This window comes from Homo sapiens, chromosome 1 (assembly GCF_000001405.40).
Source record: "Homo sapiens chromosome 1, GRCh38.p14 Primary Assembly".
NCBI classification, from domain to species: Eukaryota; Metazoa; Chordata; class Mammalia; order Primates; family Hominidae; genus Homo; species Homo sapiens.
This window is the reverse complement of record NC_000001.11, coordinates 16,911,349-16,929,029: the sequence shown is the minus strand read 5'-3', so window position 1 is coordinate 16,929,029 and position 17,681 is coordinate 16,911,349. Positions and strand designations below refer to the sequence as shown.

The window sequence follows — 17,681 nt, the reverse complement described above, 5'->3', positions numbered from 1 at the left end:
CGTGATGAAACCCCGTCTCTACTAAAAATACAAAAATTAGCTGGGCGTGGTGTCATGCACCTGTAATCCCAGTTACTCAAGAGGCTGACGCAGGAGAATCACTTGAACCTGGGAGGCGGAGGTTGCAGTGAGCCGAGATCGTGCCACTGCACTCCAGCCTGGGCGACAGAGCAAGACTCCATCTTTATTTATTTATTTTTTATTTTATTTTATTTATTTATTTTTTTGAGACAGAGTCTTGCACTGTCTCCTGGGCTGGAGTGCAATGGCTCGATCTCGGATCACTGCAACCTACACCTCCCGGGTTCAAATGATTCTCCTGCCTCAGTCTCCCAAGTAGCTGGGACTACAGGTGCACGCCACCACACCTGGCTAATTTTTTGTATTTTTAGTAGAGATGGGGTTTCACTATGTTGGCCAGGCTGGTCTCGAACTCCTGACCTCGTAATCCACCCGCCTCGGCCTCCCAAAGTGCTGGGATTACAGGTGTGAGCCACAGCATCCGGCCCAAGACTCCATCTTAAAAAAAAAAAGGTCCCCTCCATCCTCACTGCAGGAAAGCCTCTGTTGCTGCTGCCCTTCCTCCACCCCCAGGAAGCTTCCATCCCGCACATCCTCAGACCCCTGTGGGCTCTGGCTGTCCCTACCAGCCATAGAACCCTCTCAACTCCCTTAAGGCACCTGCTGGCCCCAGGTGGCCCCTCATCTTCCCCAGCTGTTGGGGGAAGGGAGGTGAGGGAGGAGCAGGGCAGTGGGAGAGCACACAGTGGGTCAAGGGCACCTGGCAGCGACAACACCCCAGCCCAGCTTACTCTGATGCTAGCCCTGCACTCACCATCTGCATCCTCAGGACCTGGCCTGCTACAGCCCAGGCAGGGCATTCAAAAGCCCACCCGTGCAGGGCCACGCCAGCCACAGGAAGCCAACAGGAGGGCAGCTGCTCTCACCCACGCTCATCTCGGGTCTTGGGTCCAGGCCAGGTTAGCGGTAGGGAAGGTGCCCTCCAGGCCTGCATTGACCCCATATGCTGAGAGATGTTCTATGAGCCACAGACAAAGCAAGGACATCTCTACCCACCCCACCCCCGGGACACGTGCATGGCAGCCCCACCAATAGGGAGGAGCTAACTGTGACTACTTGGGGGCTTCCCCCTGAGTCTGGAGGAACACAGTCCAAGGCTGTGCAGGGGAGGTGGAAGTAGGGGGTTTCTGCCTGGATGGCGGCTGCAGGCCTGTCAAGCGTCTGTGCCAAGCCCACTGAGGTCAATGGTGAGCGGTGTCCACATCTGTGTGTGGTGGCGGTGGCCTGAGGCAGCCACACAGGCTGTGCACTGATGTTGGTGGCTCTCACTAGGTGCGAGTGGGGTGTATTTTGTCATTTGTCTCCACGCAGGACACTGTGTGTGTAGTGTGTGGGTGCTGAGTTCACGTCGACTGTTTGGTGCATCTGAGCCTTCCCGTGAACGGCTAAGGCGGCATCTGTGGCTGAAGGTCTATGTTGTGGCGCGGGTGTTGGGCCTGGCTGTGTGTATCAGGGTATATGTCTGTGTGTCGGTGAGGCAAGTGTACAACCGCATGTGGGTGGGTCTGGGGGGTGTGCCTGGGCTCCCTGGTATGTGTGATACACACTTTGTGCATCTGGGCATACCTTTGTGGGCCGATTGGTGGCTGTGTTGAACTGTATGCTTTTCCTGTCCGTGTGCACCCATGAGGTGGGAGATAGCGTGCTGTGTCATCTGCATATGGTTGTTATAGGTCCCCGGTGGTGGGGGGACTGTTCTGTGCCTGTGTGGGGTTGTGTGGCATCTGGCTGTGTGTGCGGCTAACACTGTGCATATTCTGTGAATTGGAGTGTTTCTGTGTGGCCTGGTTTTAGGGTCTCACTATGTTGTTTGTGGAATGTTTTGTGCATCTGTGTGTCTGTGTGGGGCCCAGTGTAGCCCATGTCGTGTACACACTGCATATCTGTGTGAAGCAGGTGCTGTTTGCCTCTGGGACACAGAGGGGTTCAGGCCGTTGCTGGGTTCTCCTCCCCCTTCTCCAGTGCTCAGAACCAGAGCCAGGGCCCTCTCGGCCACACCTCACCCCTTTCCACAAACTTCACCGTGAGCAAAACAGCCTTTCAATTTTACTTGCAATTCAAAAGGGAAGGAGGCTGCCACTAAGCCAGAGATGAAAGAAGTTGACTGTCTCCCCTAGCAACTGCTGCCCTCAGACCGCCATTCAATTTACTCTTTCCAGGTTGCTATGGACACGAGGGAGCCCAGGGGGTCTGTCCTCTGGAGCCAAGGGAGGCGTGACCACTCCCTCCTTTCCATTCCCAGCTGCGCCTACATCTGCTTCTCAGGGACAGCAAGAAGGGGGGACCCCCATGGGGGCCCTGAGGTCCTCTCTCTCGGCTGGGAGGTGGCCTCTGGGAGTGCCTCAGTTTCCCTGCAGGACATGCAGTTAACAGGACACAGACCTGACCCTCCCTCCGCTCCCCATGCCAGGGGTGCTGCAGGGTTGGAAAGATCAGAACAATCTCGCTGACTGCCCACCAACCCAGCCCAACATGCCAGTGAGGGCCACAGGGGCAGGCACTGCCACCTGTGGCCATGGGGACAAGGGGGTGGCAGGGAAAGAGAATGTTGCCCAACTGCAGAGCCCTGGACCAAGGGTCTCATCCCAGGACCACCACTGACCTTGGGCCTATCATGCCCCTCTCCCGGACTTACTTTCCCTATCTGTGATGAGGTGATCTCTAGGCTCTGAAGTTCTCTGGGGACCCACCCTCCAGGAAAGGCCTTTGAGGTCATTCCTGTTCCACCCCTGCCTCCAGGTGGGGCCTCATTCAAACCATGGTGGATAGAGGACAACTGAAGCAGCGGGCGCCCTCTGCGTGCCATTTGGGCCCCCACTAACCACAGGAGGGAGCTTTCTAGACTAACCCAGACCCCCTGTGCTGCAGTCCCAGCCCCAGCAGCTGTGTCCCAGCAGAGGAGGAACCTGCTACCTCCCACCTCTTCCCTTCCCTGCCAACCTGGGGGCAGGGCTAGCTTCAGAAGGTGGCATTTAAGAGGCGGCCCTGGGGGTGTGGCACTGTGCCATGCATGGACCAAAAGAAAGGGGTGCCTGGCTCAGGGCCCCATCACCACCCACAATTCATGACTGGGGCCAGCGTGCCCTACACACCCGCTGCAGACCCTGGGGAAACGAGCTCTCCACTGTCCTCATGCCAGGGGCCACTGCGGGCCGCCTACTCTGCTCCTCTACAAGTCCCAACTAGTCGTGGGTTTGTCCAGCCAGGCAAATCCCAGGACACGGGCACACCCCACAGTCATACACAGGAACACACACCCTCCTGCCAATGCGGGCTCCAGCCTGGACAAGTCCAGCTCAGGGGTCCCATGCCAACCCTAGCTCTGCCACTACCACACAGGGGACCCTGGGCCAGCCCCTGCCTCTCTGGGTCCCTTCCAACTTTGTGGGGGCCAGCTGTGCCCTGAAATCCCTAGCCCAGTGTCTCTTCCCATACACAGGAAATGAAACTTCAGAACTTTGTTTCTAGACTGGGTTAGTTTAGAAACCAAACAGAGCCCTGGGCTGGGAGTTGGAAGACCTGGTGTCTAACTTTAACTGGCTGTGTGCCCCCAGCATGGTGCTTCCCCTCCCTGAGCCTCTGTTTTCTCCTCTGTTACATGGGCATCATAATGGTCCCGACCTTGGTGTATTAAATGTGAAACACTCAGCACGCGCCTGGCACATAGTAGGCACTCAATAAACAGTAGCTACTGTTAATACGTTATTGCCACCTGCATGCCTCTCATCTGCACACATACACTCTGTCCCAGCTGCGAGTGTCCCTTACCAATCTTCAGCCACCACCAACTTCCCAGGGCCACCTCCCGGCCACCCGGAGGCCCAAAGCAGACAGTGCATCAAGAGCATCCCGCACCCCTCGCACCGGCTCACACCCAGCTCCCGCCCCACACCCTGGGACCCCCACAAGCCTGCAGCACGGGTGATGTGAATCCTGCCTGGACATGAAGACAGGCCTGCTTCTCCTTCCTTCCCTGCCTGGAACTCATTCCAATAGGCAGTGGCGGCAGGTCTTGTGGCTGCCCCAGATGGGCTGCAGAACACCGCGGGTGCCCACACCAGCCTCGAGCCAGCATCCAGCCACCGCCTCAACCCCAAGGCCCGTGGCAATGGGAGATGCCCAGAAACTCAAGGGGCAGGAATCTTTAGGGATCTCATTCTCCGTGTCCCACACCCCTAACAGGCCTGGGACAGATGGGAACAAAATACCCCTGGTGCCAGGCACTTTATTCTATTATCTCCTTGATTCCTACAATTCCACGTCCCATTACAATCCCCACTACAGAAAACAGGCTTAAAGAGCATAGTGATTTGCTCAACGCCACTCAAGGTGGCAGAGCCTCAATCCAAGCCCAGGCCAACCTGACTCCAGGGCCCATCTTTTGCCCCGTGTGTGGGCCTGGTCTAGATGCCTCCCTGCCCTTGAACGAGGGGAACCCTGGCCTAGTCCACCACCTGGGCGGCACCCACCCTCTCGCTGACCGCATTGTACTTAATGGCGAGCTCATCGCGCTCGGCACGGCTCTGGGCCAGCAGGTCCTCCACGCGGGACAGCTCCTGCTGCAGCAGCTGGTTCTCCTCCTGCAGCGACAGCAGCGATGCCATCTCTGTGGCCGGCAGCAGGACTGGCAAGGGACAGTGGGCACATGGTTGGCTTCTGGGTCCAGTGGGACATCCTCCCCCCAACAGGGAGGGCAAGAAAACCATCCAGGCCCCTGGGAGGAGTCCAGATGGGAATGGCTGCAGCACCAGGCCTGCAAACAGAGCTGAGAACAGGGAGGAAGGCAAGGAGGGGATACAAAGCTGGACGTAAAGTGAACACAACTCCAGCTAAAGTGTGGCCCAGCAGGTTTGGGAGGTGCAGGAGAGACACTCAGTCTAGGAGCCAGGAGACCCCTGAGTTCTTGCTCCCTCCTTTTCCAATTAGTCTTCTTCTCCGGGGCCTCAGATTTACTTATCTGTAATATGGGTGGGGCGGGCACGGACTCACGCCTGTAATCCCAGCACTTTGGGAGTCGAGATAGGAGGATCACCTGAGGTCAGGAGTTTGAGACTAGCCTGGCCAACACGGCGAAGCCCTGTCTCTACTAAAAATACAAAAATTAGCTGGGCATGGTGGTGTATGCCTGTAGTCCCAGCTACTTGGGAGGCTGAGACAGCAGAATCACTTGAACCGGGGAGGTGGAGGTTGCAGTGAGCTGAGATTGCGCCACTGCACTCCAGCCTGGGCAACACAGCGAGACTCTGTCTCAAAAAAAAAAAAAAAAAAAAAAAAGGTAGAATAGTAGTAACCAGATCCTCCCAGAAAAGCATCAAAGCCTCGCTCAAGAGAAGGGCTTCATGGAACTTTAAAGGCTAGGGCTCAGGAGAGCATAGCATAGGTCAGGTTGTGAGGAGAAGGAGAAAGAGAGAAGAGGGAAAGAAAGGCCAGCGGGAGAAGCGGGGTTGTCCACCTCCTGTGGGTTCCCCTTCTACCCTGGGAGAACTGGACATACACCCCAGGTGTCAGGGTGAGGGCCCTCTGAGTCTCTCCCTGTCTGGGGCTCCAGGGCGCCAACATCCCTGGCGCTCCCAAGGAGGGGGCCCGTCTGTAGCTTGGGAGTTGAACACAGACAATGGTTAGAGCACCAAAACGCCACACGCCAGCACACCAGCTGCAACTGAGTGTGCCTTTCCCAGATCCTCAAGCCACATAACTACACCGTGTGCGCCACCCACTGAGAGGAGCAGGGACCATCCGCCTTCCTGCCCACGTGGGAAACGGATGGACGGCGCCATCCACTCAGACTTCCGCAAAACCCTGGTCTGAGCTGAGCTGCCCTCTTCCTGTATCTTGGGTTCAGCCAGCTCACACCTTCCCCGGGTGGGAATACGGGATTTGGGGTTCACATCTCTGCAGCAGGCTACAGGCAAGCACGCAGGAGATGCTCGGCCCTTCCTTCTAGTTGCACCACATGCGGAATAAGTCTGGACAAATTACATCCCTGAGCCTCTGTTTCCTCATCTGTAAAATGGGTTCTTCTGTCATAAAGCTGTGCCTGCCCCACAGTGAGTTACAGTCATGATCATCATGGTGACTGCTCAGGAAAGGGACATGAGAAGAGGTAAAATGTGGGTGGTGTTTGTGGAGGGGAGCGGATGGGGGTGGCACCTGGGCTCTCAGGCTGGGAGAGGTTGCGGGTGACAATCTCCCTGATAAGGGCAGGCAGGCTGGTGATCTGAGCGTCCTGGGCCAGGTCCCGCGCGCCCAAGCCTTTCTCCTGGCACAGGACGCTGCTCTCCAGTGTCTGTGGGAAAAGCGAGAGGGTCTTCAGGGGACATGGGACCCGGGGCTCCCTGGCCTCGTGGGGAGAGCCACAGAATCCTACTGCCCAAGATACAGGTCCCCAGGAGCCCCCTCAAGATGGAGTGAAGCCTGGGAGTTAGAATCCAAAAAATCCCCATGCAAAGAGCCTCTTGTGTGCTCACTGCCCCAGGAAGAAGGCCCAGGGCCAGAGATGAGAACCAAACCCTACGGGTAACTCCCAAACCCCACTGGAGGCAGTCCAGTGTTGGGGGCCCCAATCCGGTTCCGACCCTAGATGGATGAGGATCTGGCTATGCCAGAGGTCCCCCAAGCCCTAAAATCTGGCAGTAGAGACCCCCTTCTCCCAACCCAGGGCACTGGGATGAGGGAGCCACAGCAGGTGCACCCTGTGTGTACCTCTGCCCCCCATCTTGCCAGGAACTGCAAGCGGGGGGCCCCTGTATACCCCACCACCACCACACCTCTCCCACCCCTTGATCCCCAAGACGCACACACCTCTCACCACTCCTGTTAAGTCCACGCTGCCCCGCCCCAGACAGGGTGGGCACAGCCCCCAGGACCCACCTGGATAACCGTCTCTAGTGTCAGCTCCACCTCCTGTGCCCCCGCCAGCCCCAAGCTCATGGGGGGGAGGCTGTGGGCATGCCTCCAGCCCCCTTCTCCAGGACCCCAAGACTAGCTCAGTCAGCACGCGCCACAGCCAGGATGCTGTGCTGAGCACCAGGCAGATTAAGCTTAAATCCGGCGGCGCCCCCATGTGACCACCGCGGTGGGAGGAGCAGGATGTGGGCTGAGGAGGGAGGGGATGGGAAAGGACAGGAGAGGAGGGAAGCAGAGGCAGGGAGCCAAAGGAAGAGGAAGGATGAAGAGAGGGGAGGAGAAGGGAGAGAAAAGGAGGGAGGAGAGAGAAGAGGGAATGGGAGGAGGAAACAGGGGAGACACCTGGAGGTCAGGACCTCACACACTCTTCACCCTGCGCAGGTTGCTGGGTCCTAGAGCCCTCCAAGCCCAGGGGGTGGGGTCAGTAGCCATGCGGCGGGAAAGGCCAGAGTCCTAAGTATTTGTGACCATCTTTCTGGCCCAGAACGGGAGTCACATGGTTAGCTAAGAATGAGAGGATTTACAGCATGCTGGGAGTATGTTTTCCCACAACAGGTGTAGGGCAAAGAATGCAGGCTGTGAGATCACCCAGGCCAGGCTTGGCACTTAGTTGGGCATGAGCGGTCCAGCCTGGACTGATGAGCATTTATGCAACACCTGCGGCATTCCTAGGTCTGACCTAGACACAGTGGTAGAGCCTCGAACTACAAATGCCCTAGCCTTGCCCTTCAGGCACTTATTGGGAAGCTTCTGGCCCCTTCACACCCACCCCAGCCCCCACTAGCTGGGTGCACCAGGGACACTGACTTTGCCTCTCTGAGACTCAGTGTCCTCTTACGTAAGATGTGATAATATTGGTACTCATCTCTCGGAGCCGTCCGGGGATGAAACAGTATCGTGTGTGCATACCCAGCACATGACATGGTGCTGGGGGGTCACGTGGCCAACACTCAAGAAATACTCATTTCATTCATTTGAAAATCCAGAAGGTACAGTCCCAGCCAGGCGCAGGCACTCATGCCTGTAATCTCGGCATTTTGGGAGGACAAAGCGGGTGGATCACCTGAGGTCAGGAGTTCAAGATCAGCCTGACCAATATGGTGAAACCCCGTCTCTACCAAAAATACAAAAATTAGCCGGGTGTGGTGGTGCACACCTGTAATCCCAGCTACTTGGGAGGCTGAGGCAGGAGAATCGATTGAACTCAGGAGGCAGAGGTTGCAGTGAGCCAAGATCGCGCCATTGCACTCCAGCCTGGGCAACAAGAGTGGAACTTTGTCTCAAAAAAAAAAAAAAAAAAGGCACAGTCCCTATATCCCAGGGCCCTGAGACCCAGAGGTCACCCACCACCTCCCATTGTTCTTTCCCTGGGGCAAGGAGGCTATGTGCTCTAGTGCTTAGGCGCACAGCTCTGGAGTCAGTATCAGGTCTGAGGTTGCATGTGAGACTCAGCTCTGTCACTTGCAACTATGGTGTTCAAGACAGTAAGACCTTGAACAGGTTACCTCCCTGAGCCTCAGTTTTCTCATCTCTAAAAGGAGACTAAACCAGGCCAGGTGCAGTGGCTCAAGCCTCTAATTCCAGCACTTTGGGAGGCTGAGGCGGGCAGATCACTTGAGGTCAGGAGTTTGAGACCAGCCTGGCCAACATAGTGAAACCCCATCTCTACTAAAAATACAAGAATTGGCCTGTAATCCCAGCACTTTGGGATGCTGAGGCAGGCGGATCAGGAGGTCAAGAGATTAAGACCATCCTGGCCTACATGGTGAAACCCCGTCTCTATTAAAAATACAAAAATTAGCTAGGCATGGTGGTGCACACCTGTAGTCCCAGCTACCTGGGAGGCTGAGTCAGGAGAATCGCTTGAACCTGGGAGGCAGAGGTTGCAGTGAGGCGAGATCATGCCACTGCACTCCAGCCTGGCGACACAGTAAGACTCCGTCTCAAAAATATAAATAAATAAATAAATAAATATAAAAAAAATTAGCTGGGGCGTGGTGGCATGTGCATATAATCCTAGCTACTCAGGAGGCTGAGGCAGGGGAATCACTTGAACCCAGGAGGAGGAGGTTGCAGTGAGCCGAGATTGTGCCACAGCACTCCAGCCTGGGTGACAGGGCAAGAGTCTGTCTCAAAAAAATAAAATAAAATAAAATGAGACTAGACCGAGTGTGGTGATTCAGGTCTATAATCCCAGCACTTTGGGAGGCCAAAATGGGAGAATCGCTTGAGCCCAGGAGTTTGAGACCAGCCTGGGCAACATAGCGAGACTCTGTCCTACCAAAAACAACAAAAAAATGCGACTGATAGTACCTACCACACCTGGCAGGTGGTGAGCTATTAGCCAATGGGGGCCACTGTTCCTATTGTCATTAGCATCACGTGTCTGGGCTCCTGCCCTTAGAGTTGTAAGCCCTAAAAAAGGACAGGAATTGCTCACTCGAGGAGCTCGGCTTTTAAGACACAAGTCTCCTGAAGTTCCCAGCCGAATAAAGTTCCTTCCTTCTTTAACCTGGTGACTGAAGAGTTTTGCCTGCGGCTTGTCCTGCTACACTGCTATGCCTCAGCCCTCCGTCCCTGGGTGCCCTCTGCTCCATGCTGTGCCCCAAAGGGGGCATATTCACATTATCTCATTAAATCCTTACTTCAACCTATTTCCAGATGAGAAAACTGAGGCTCAGAGACATTGGGCTCTCACCTATTCAAGGCGACATGCTTCAGGGAAGTGGTGAGCCCAAAGCTCATTCCACTTAGACCAGCAGCCTCCCAATGAGTGACTGAAGGGCAAGGCCGAGGCATTTGCGCTTTGAGGCTCTACTTCTGTATCCAGGTCAGACCCAGAATGCCACGGTGCTGTATAAATGCTCATCAGTCCAGGCTGGACCGCTCACGCCCAACTAAGGAAACTGCCCTGCAAATGGAAAACCAAGAAACAGGTCTGAAAAGATAAATGTTGCCAAGTTGCAATGGCAAGCAAGCCAGATTTGGGCAAAACTAAACCAGCTACTGGCCAGGTGCAGTGGCTCATGCCTGTAATCCCAACACTGGGATGCCGAGGCAGGTCGATCACTTGAGGTCAGGAATTCTAGACCAGCCTGGCCAACGTGGTGAAACCCCGTCTCTACTAAAAATACAGAAATTAGCTGGGCATGGTGGTGGGTGCCTGTAGTCCCAGCTACTCGGGAGGCTGAGGCACAAGAATCACTTGAAACTGGGAGGCAGAGGTTGCAGTGAGCTGAGATCGCACCACTGTACTCCAGCCTGGGTGACAGAGAGAGACTCTGTCTCAAAAAAAAAACAAAAACAAAAAACTAAACCGGCCAGCAGATAGAGCTGCCACTACAAACCCCAGGGACGCCCACTCTTCTACCTCTAGGCAGCCTCCAAAAAATCCCCTCTACAGGCTGCACACCTGCCCACCAGAACAGGGGGGAAGCCAAAAATACCCCTGGACCAGCATGTCCAGCCCTGCATGCCCAGCTCAGCAGAGGGGGCCCCAGATGTCCTTGAGGGACTGAACTGGATTATTCTGTGCCTTCTCCTGACCACGGCCCTAAGGGTTGGAGGAAGGGGACAGGATGTCAGCCCCTGGCACCAGGTGACATTCACCCTTGGCTCCATCCCCAAAGTTCTCCCCCAGAGTCCTGCTGGGTTCTGTGGGTCCCAGGAAGTCATATCTGAACCTCGTGTATGTGTCCACTGCTTCCACCCAATTCTCCAAAAAAAAAAAAAAAAAAAAAAAGACTGAATTCCTCTTAGAAATCTGGATGCTAACAGCTTCAGCATCTGGCCACCTGGACTCCAATCTTGGCTCACCAGCCCCTCACCAGCTGTGTGACCCTGCACCAGTGTCTTCACTTCTCTGAGCTTCAGTTTCCTCATCTGCAAAATGGGATAATAATGGTGCCTGTTTCTAGCATGAGCATTAAATAAAATACTCCGTGCTAAGCTATATGCCTGGATATGGTGTGGCAGAAACTGCAATGTGCTCACCACAAAGCATTTCCGATTCCTCTTAGGAATATGGCTAAAAGCCATTTCCCAGACTCCCTTGCAGTCAGATACGGCCATGTGGTCAAGTTCTGGTCCATAGAATTAAGACAGAAAGACAGCGTGCCACTTTAGGCTTGGTCCATAAAATTATTTCTCTCCTTCCTGGTCCATCAGCTAGAAGGAAATAACTCCAAGGTCCTAGGGGATGCCGCAACCACAAGACAGAAGGGATCTCGGTCCCTGGGTCGCCACATAGAAAGCCACCTGCCAAACACCCAACAGGGCTTTTCATGAATGAGAAATAAACTTCTATTGCGCTAAGCCTCTGAGAATTCAGGGTTTCACTATCACATTAGCTAGTGTTACCTTAATTACTACCTGCAGTTCAACAGCGGGTAAGTGTTGGCTATTACTACTGTTATCATTACTATCATGAGTATTATTGGCTCTTTCTAGTCCCCAAGCTAGAACCCTGTGCCTTGTTCTAGATGCTGAGACATTATTTGGTGACCAAATACAGAGGAGACACCCTTTGTACCCTTCCCTCCCCACTACCACCCTCCAAACTTGCCTTTTGCCAGGGCTAGCGGCAGGAACTAGCCAAAAAGCCCCTCAAAGATTACTCGTTTCAAACATAGCAGCTGCTCTTATCCGCTTACCCCTTCGTTATCCTCCTGCTGCTGACTAGAAATTATGACAAAAATATTGAACCAACCACGAGCCAGGCCCTGTGCCCAAAACGTTACATCTGTCCCTTACCTGCTTTAACACTCCTGGCACCACCCTACTCACTTTACAGATGACAGCGTGAAGTCTCAGCGAAGTTAAATAATTGGCTCCAATGCACCCAGCCACAAAGAGCTCAAGTCACAGCCGCGACCTAGGTGTGCCTGATTCCAAAGGGTTTTTGTTTTTTGTTTTGTTTTGTTTTTGAGATGGAGTCTGGCTCTGTCACCCAGTCTGGAGTGCAATGGCACGATCTCGGCTGACTGCAACCTCCGCCTCCTGGGCTCAAGCAATTCTCCTGCCTCAGCCTCCTGAGTAGCTGGGATTACAGGTATGCGCCACCGCGCCCAGCTTATTTTTGTATTTTTAGTAGAGACAGGGTTTCACCATGTTGGCCAGGCTGGTCTCAAACTCCTGACCTCAAGTGATCTACCCGCCTCGGCCTCTCAAAGTGCTGGGATTATAGGCATGAGCCACTGCGCCCAGCCCAGAGTTTTAAATAATAACAGCAAGCCGGGTGCACTGACTCACACCTGTGATCCCAACACTTTGGGAGGCCAAGGTAGGAGGACTGCCTGAGCCCAGGCGTTTGAGACCAGCCCTGGCAACACAGTGAGACTCCATCTCTGCCAAAAAAATAAAAAAAATTGGCCTGGCATGGTGGCATGCACCTCCTGTAGTCCCAGTTCCTTGAGAGGCTGAGGCAGGAGGATTGCTTGAGCCTGGAAGGTTGAGGCTGCAATGAGCCGTGGTTGTGTCACTGCACTCTAGCCTGGGTGACAGAGCAAGACCCTGTCTCAAATAAACAAAAACAGTAACAGCAATGACTTCCATCCTGCAGCGCCTGCTGTGTACCTGGCACCACCCCAGGACGCCGATGTGTATTATATAAGCCACTGCCTGGACTGCTGAGATGGCTCCCCGAGGGTCTCTATGCTTCCCTGCTCATCCCCTCACCCACTCAAGTTTCACACAGTAAAGGTCATACCCCTCCCCTACCCAAGGCCCTCTACTAGCCCTTACCACACCTAAAATGAAGTTCAAAGTCCTTCCATGGCCCACAGGGCCCACCAGATCTGGCCCCACTCCACTTTTCCCACCTCATCTCCTCTCTCCCCTTCTCTCATGGCCTTTTTTTTTGAGGCAGAGTCTTGATCTGTTGCCCAGGCCTGAGCTGGAGTGCAGTGGTGCACAATCTCAGCTCACTGCAACCTCCACCTCCTGGGTTCAAGCAATTCTCCTACCTCAGCCTCCCGAGTAGCTGGGATTACAGGCATGCACCACCACGCCCAGCTAATTTTTGTATTAGTAGAGATGAGGTTTCACTGTATTGGCCAGGCTGGTCTTAAACTCCTGACCTCAAGTGATCCACCCACCTTAGCCTCCCAAAGTGCTGGAATTACAGGCATGAGCCACCACACCTGGCTGCTCATGGCCTTCTTGATTCCTCAAACACCAGGCAGGCACCCACCTCTGGGCCTTTGCACTGCCACTTTCTCTGCCTGGGACGCACTTCCCCCTTCTTTTGCACAGCTGACTCCCGCTTGTCGGCCAGATTTTGGCTCAAAAATATCACTTTCTGAGGGAGCTACCCCGACTCTCAGCTAAAGAGGTCCCTCCAGTGGCTGTTCCATTTTCTCCAACATGTATGTTGTCTGTCTCCTCCTTTTTTTTTTTTTTCTTTGAGACAAGGTCTTGCTCTGTTTTCCAGGCTGGAGTGCAGTGGCAAAATCATGGCTCACTGCAGCGTTGACCTCCTGGGCTTAAGGGATCCTCCCACCTCAGCCTCCTGAGTAGCTGGGACCACAGGTGCGTGCCACCACGTCTGGCTAATTTTTTACTTGTTGTAGAGATGAGATGTTGCCCAGGCTAGTCTCCAACTCCTGGGCTCAAGCGGTCCTCCCACCTCAGCCTCCCAAAGTGCCAGGTTGGCTTAGCTCACTGTCACTTCCACAGTGCATGGGCTAAGGCCAAAGCTCCATGAAGAGCTGCTGAATGAATTAATGAATGCTAAGAGCCAAGTAATAACATAGGATGTTAAATGGAAAAAGAAATGATTCCCCTTGGCTCTGGCTGGGGTCATGTTGGGCCACAGATGGTGTCAGCCACAGACGGGGATCACGGAAGGACACCAGCGAACACATATCCAGCCAGCATCTGCCGCATCCCAGAAGATCAGGGTGAAAACCAGGCAGTGACCCCCACAGGGGCCACTTGGGTGGAAAGGGCTGAAAGACTTGGGGAGGGGAGGGTTAAGTCAGGGAAATGTGCGCGGGTGGGGAGCCTCCGAGATCCAGGGGTTGACTCCTGGAGTCTTGCCTGAACCTCGCTGTCGTCTGCTCCCGCCACAAGATCTGTTTATTAAGCACCTGCTGTGAGCCCAGCGAAAGAAAACAGAAATCTCTGTTTTCTGGCGTAAACAGACAGATGGCACCCTGAAGTCCTCCTCCCCAGGGTCCCCATTCCCCAGTCAATCGTCTTCCCAAGGGAGCTGTGACCTGGTCACCAGAGGGGCAGACATCCGCCCCAGCATGGTCGTCAGGCTTAAGTCTGTGTGAAAATCAGGAGGGAGCTCGTTCAAAATGCCCACTCCAGAGACGCTGCCGGGCACAGAGGCCTGAGGCCGCATGGTGAGAGGCGCAAGGGGTGCAGGGCCCCATCCCCGCACAGCATCCGGCGGCCCTGCCTCCGTGGCCAGCCCAACTATGCGCTCTGGGCCTCAGTTTCCCCATCCGCACAATGGAGATGCTTCCGACTCGGCAGGGCTGCAATGAAGACGAAACCGGATCCCACACGAGGAGGGCAGTGCAGGGCGGGGCCCGCACGCAGGAGCTGCAGAGGGCATCTGCGGGGGGCAGAGGCCGTCGCGAGGGCCTCCCACGGCCGCCCGCGGAGCGAGGGGACCCCGGCCGGCGGAGGGACGGCTGCGCCCTGCAGGCCCCAGTCTCCTGTCGTGCCCCCGGCCCGCGACAATCCGGGCAGGATGGGCGGCAGGACGCGGCGGGGCATCCGCGGAGCCTGTTGGGAACGCTCTCCTGGCCTCCGGTGCCGGGCCGCGGCAGTCGCGGAACACACAGCGCCCCCAGCCCCGGTACGTGGCTCCAGCCCGCCCCCAGGCGCGCGGCCTCCTCCGCCGGGAGCGCGTCCGTCCCGCCCCCGCGCACGCGCGCGCCCCCGGCCACCTACCTTCGCGCGCCTTCGCCGCAGCCGCTGCTGCCGAGGCCGAGCGGGCCGGACCGGGCGGGGCGTCCCCGCCACGGGGCGGGGAAAACTGGGGGCGGAGCCTGCGCTGCGCGGTAGTGGGGCGGAGGCTGGGGCGGGGCCGGGCGCCGGGAGCAGCGCTTCTGCAGCGCTTACAGGGGCCGCCCTGGGCGGACACGCTCCGTGCGCCCTCCCTCTTGCCGCCTGGCACCGCCCGGCAAGCCAGGCGCCTCCTACACGCACGAACGAGGATACCAGGCGAACGAAGCACGACCCCCAAGTCCTCGCAGTTGCAAGGCCGCAGCGCAGGATCGAAACCCCGACCCGGCTGCAGAGTCCCCCTGCGGTCTGGCCGGGCCTTAAAGGCCTGAAACTCCTGAGCACTGACCCATCGCCCAGCCAGACAGAGGGACGTTTCATGCCAGCCCCGTCACAGCCCCCAGCGACGATCCCGAGGCTTCGGTGATTTGACCTGTCGGAGAGAATGCTTTTTTTTTTCCTGACTGACGTGCAGCCCTGGGGAAGGCACTCTGGCCTCAGTTTGTTCGCGAGACTCAACCCGGTGGCGCGCCTGTCTCGTGTCCTTTCCACTGTGACAGTATGTTCGTTCCACCCTCTCACTGGACTTGGACCTCCTTCTGTTATTGAAGGCATTGGATGAAATCATGCTTTTTTTTTTTTTTGAGGGAGTCTTGCTCTATTGCCCAGGCTGGAGTGCAGTGGCATGATCTTGGCTAAACGCAACCTCTGCCCCAGCCTCCTGAGTAGCTTGGACTACAGGCGCCCGCCGCCACGCTCGGCTAATTTTTGTATTTTCAGTAGAGACGGGGTTTCACCATATTGGCCAGGCTGGTCTCAAACTGCTGACCTCGCGATCCACCCGCCTCAGCTTCCCAAAGTACTGGGAGTACAGGCGTGAGCCACTGCACCCGGGCGAGATCATTCATTTTCAAAGGGAGAGGCAGCTCTGAATCTCCAGGGCTAAGAGAGGGATGTGTTTGGTTTGAAAAAGCATGTTTAAGTTAATGATTTTGTGCTTTTTCCAAACACAGTACCCAGAGAGAACGGCCAGCAGGCCCTCGGCTGATGGTTGCTTCTGTGTTTCCTGCGTGGTAGGAGGGAAGCAGTGGAAGTTCCATCTTCGTCAAAGAGGAACCTGTCTGTGACATCTGAAACACTGCACTAAAGGCTGCCAGTGTGCCCTTCGGGCTCTGAAACCCGGCCCGGTGCAAGCAAGACTGTGGCCTGGACCAGGGCTGAGAGCTGTTTGTCAGGAGAGATTCGGGCCATTCCCTGGGATTTGGGGTGGAAGGGTGATGTTACCAAGATTGGAAGGAAGGTCACAGTTTCCCTGAGGTGTCCCTGGCCCAACTGCAGGAGGGCTGACTGACATCTGCCAGTATGCACAGCCAGTCCCTGGATGCCCAGCATGGCCCAGGTCTGTGTGACCCTGTCTGGAGTCCCCAGACTTGCTATGTCCCTACCCAGGCCCTGGTGGGCTCATGACCTCACTAGTCCAGTTCTGATGCTGCCTGTCCCTGTGAAGCCCACTCCAGTGTTCATATCACCAGGGCTGGGCTCAGGCCTGTGTCCTTGCCACTCCCTCCAGGGCACCTTGGGTCTCCCTTGGTGACAGTACCTGCACCCTGCAGGCAGCCTGCGCTGGCTGTGAACCACACTGCCGCCTACTTCCTCTTCTATGTTCCCGCTCTGTCTACAGTCCCCTCTGAACACTCCCGTGAAGCAGGTTCTAGGATCATCTCCATTTTATAGAAGGGGAGATTGAGGATCAGAGACATGTAGTCACTTGCCCAAGGACACACAGCAGGAAGTTCAATGGCTTCCAATCCCATGCTCTTTCCTCTCTACCATGCTGCTTCACTTGAGGTTTTTAACAGGGGGTGGCAAACACAGCTCCTCTCCCCTTGACCCTCTCACTCCCAAAGCCCACAGGACCCTGCCGCAGGGTGGCACATACTCATCTCCTTGGGGGGTCCTCCAGCTCCCTTCTCTGTGAAGAGCCTAGGTTCCTTGCTGTGCTGAGTCCTTGGCTCTGCTCAGCTCAGCCTGACCGGGCTGCGGTCATTTGAATCCCCAGTGCTGCCACCCACCGGTCACCCTGTCCTGTCACCAGGTGGTGACTGGCCCAGTGACCCCCAGGACCACTCACCAGAAAAGAATCATGCCAGGTGCTCACCTGCTCACTGCAGAGGGCTCTAAATCTGCAACTCAGGTAACAGGGAAACAAGTAACTGATTGGAGTTACCACCCTCAGGTTGCTAAGGCCAAGTGCCTGCCAAATCCAGCGGCTCGGCTGGGGTGGACTCTGCCCACCATCAGCAAAACCACATTCACCAGGAGGCTTAGAGGACAGTGCTCTGGTTAACTGGATTTGCTGGGCATCTGAAGGCTAACTTGCAGAGTCTATCATGCCAGACTTTAATAGCAAAAAGTTAGAAAGACCTAAACGTTCAGCAGTAGGGGACTTGTATAATAAACCATGGGTTATTCATATAATGGGATACTATGATATCATTCCAAATGTTATAGAAGAACATTCAATGACTGGAGAGATGGTTACGATATATTAAGTGAAAAGTTCAGAAGAGTAATACAGGGATAAGCCCATATTGTAGAAATAATAATGATTTCTTTCTTTTTTTTTTTTTTTTTTGGCTCTTGTCACCCAGGCTGGAGTACAATGGCACGATCTCGGCTCACTGCAACCTCTGCCTCCTGGGTTCAAGCAATTCTCTTGCCTCAGCCTCCCAAGT

The 17,681-nt window shown here is 55.4% G+C and overlaps 1 protein-coding gene across 9 annotated transcripts in view, besides 7 other annotated features; it reads right to left on the bottom strand.

Annotated features, from left to right (window-relative positions):
* The window catches only part of CROCC (ciliary rootlet coiled-coil, rootletin), a 58,880-nt gene extending 43,935 nt beyond the window's left edge, over positions 1 to 14,945 (bottom strand). For 3 of the 9 annotated variants that reach the window (NM_014675.5, XM_047435115.1, XM_047435117.1), the window contains exons 1-3: positions 6,952 to 7,099; positions 6,232 to 6,367; positions 4,551 to 4,705 (exon numbers count right to left, since the gene is read on the bottom strand). In NM_014675.5, the coding sequence (NP_055490.4) occupies positions 4,551 to 4,705; positions 6,232 to 6,367; positions 6,952 to 7,011 (351 nt within the window). In that variant the 5' untranslated portion in view covers positions 7,012 to 7,099. Of the gene's footprint in view, positions 1 to 4,550; positions 4,706 to 6,231; positions 6,368 to 6,951; positions 7,100 to 10,596; positions 10,703 to 14,892 lie in introns of those variants that run through there. The other 6 variants (XM_006711058.4, XM_047435135.1, XM_047435134.1 and 3 more) reach the window with 5 other exon arrangements.
* Positions 2,135 to 2,745: an enhancer, noted in NCBI's record as "H3K4me1 hESC enhancer chr1:17252780-17253390 (GRCh37/hg19 assembly coordinates)". NCBI's record gives its function as "activates a minimal SCP1, AML or CMV promoter by ChIP-STARR-seq in naive H9 embryonic stem cells {active_cell/tissue: H9 hESC(naive)}" and the evidence as "EXISTENCE:reporter gene assay evidence [ECO:0000049][PMID:30033119]".
* Positions 4,575 to 5,185: an enhancer, noted in NCBI's record as "H3K4me1 hESC enhancer chr1:17250340-17250950 (GRCh37/hg19 assembly coordinates)". NCBI's record gives its function as "activates a minimal SCP1, AML or CMV promoter by ChIP-STARR-seq in primed H9 embryonic stem cells {active_cell/tissue: H9 hESC(primed)}" and the evidence as "EXISTENCE:reporter gene assay evidence [ECO:0000049][PMID:30033119]".
* Positions 5,369 to 6,140: an enhancer, noted in NCBI's record as "H3K4me1 hESC enhancer chr1:17249385-17250156 (GRCh37/hg19 assembly coordinates)". NCBI's record gives its function as "activates a minimal SCP1, AML or CMV promoter by ChIP-STARR-seq in primed H9 embryonic stem cells {active_cell/tissue: H9 hESC(primed)}" and the evidence as "EXISTENCE:reporter gene assay evidence [ECO:0000049][PMID:30033119]".
* Positions 6,141 to 6,912: an enhancer, noted in NCBI's record as "H3K27ac-H3K4me1 hESC enhancer chr1:17248613-17249384 (GRCh37/hg19 assembly coordinates)". NCBI's record gives its function as "activates a minimal SCP1, AML or CMV promoter by ChIP-STARR-seq in primed H9 embryonic stem cells {active_cell/tissue: H9 hESC(primed)}" and the evidence as "EXISTENCE:reporter gene assay evidence [ECO:0000049][PMID:30033119]".
* Positions 6,913 to 7,684: an enhancer, noted in NCBI's record as "H3K27ac-H3K4me1 hESC enhancer chr1:17247841-17248612 (GRCh37/hg19 assembly coordinates)". NCBI's record gives its function as "activates a minimal SCP1, AML or CMV promoter by ChIP-STARR-seq in naive H9 embryonic stem cells {active_cell/tissue: H9 hESC(naive)}" and the evidence as "EXISTENCE:reporter gene assay evidence [ECO:0000049][PMID:30033119]".
* Positions 7,685 to 8,457: an enhancer, noted in NCBI's record as "H3K27ac-H3K4me1 hESC enhancer chr1:17247068-17247840 (GRCh37/hg19 assembly coordinates)". NCBI's record gives its function as "activates a minimal SCP1, AML or CMV promoter by ChIP-STARR-seq in naive H9 embryonic stem cells {active_cell/tissue: H9 hESC(naive)}" and the evidence as "EXISTENCE:reporter gene assay evidence [ECO:0000049][PMID:30033119]".
* Positions 14,467 to 15,206: a silencer, noted in NCBI's record as "silent region_337". NCBI's record gives its function as "represses an Ori minimal core promoter by ATAC-STARR-seq in GM12878 lymphoblastoid cells {active_cell/tissue: GM12878}" and the evidence as "EXISTENCE:reporter gene assay evidence [ECO:0000049][PMID:35858748]".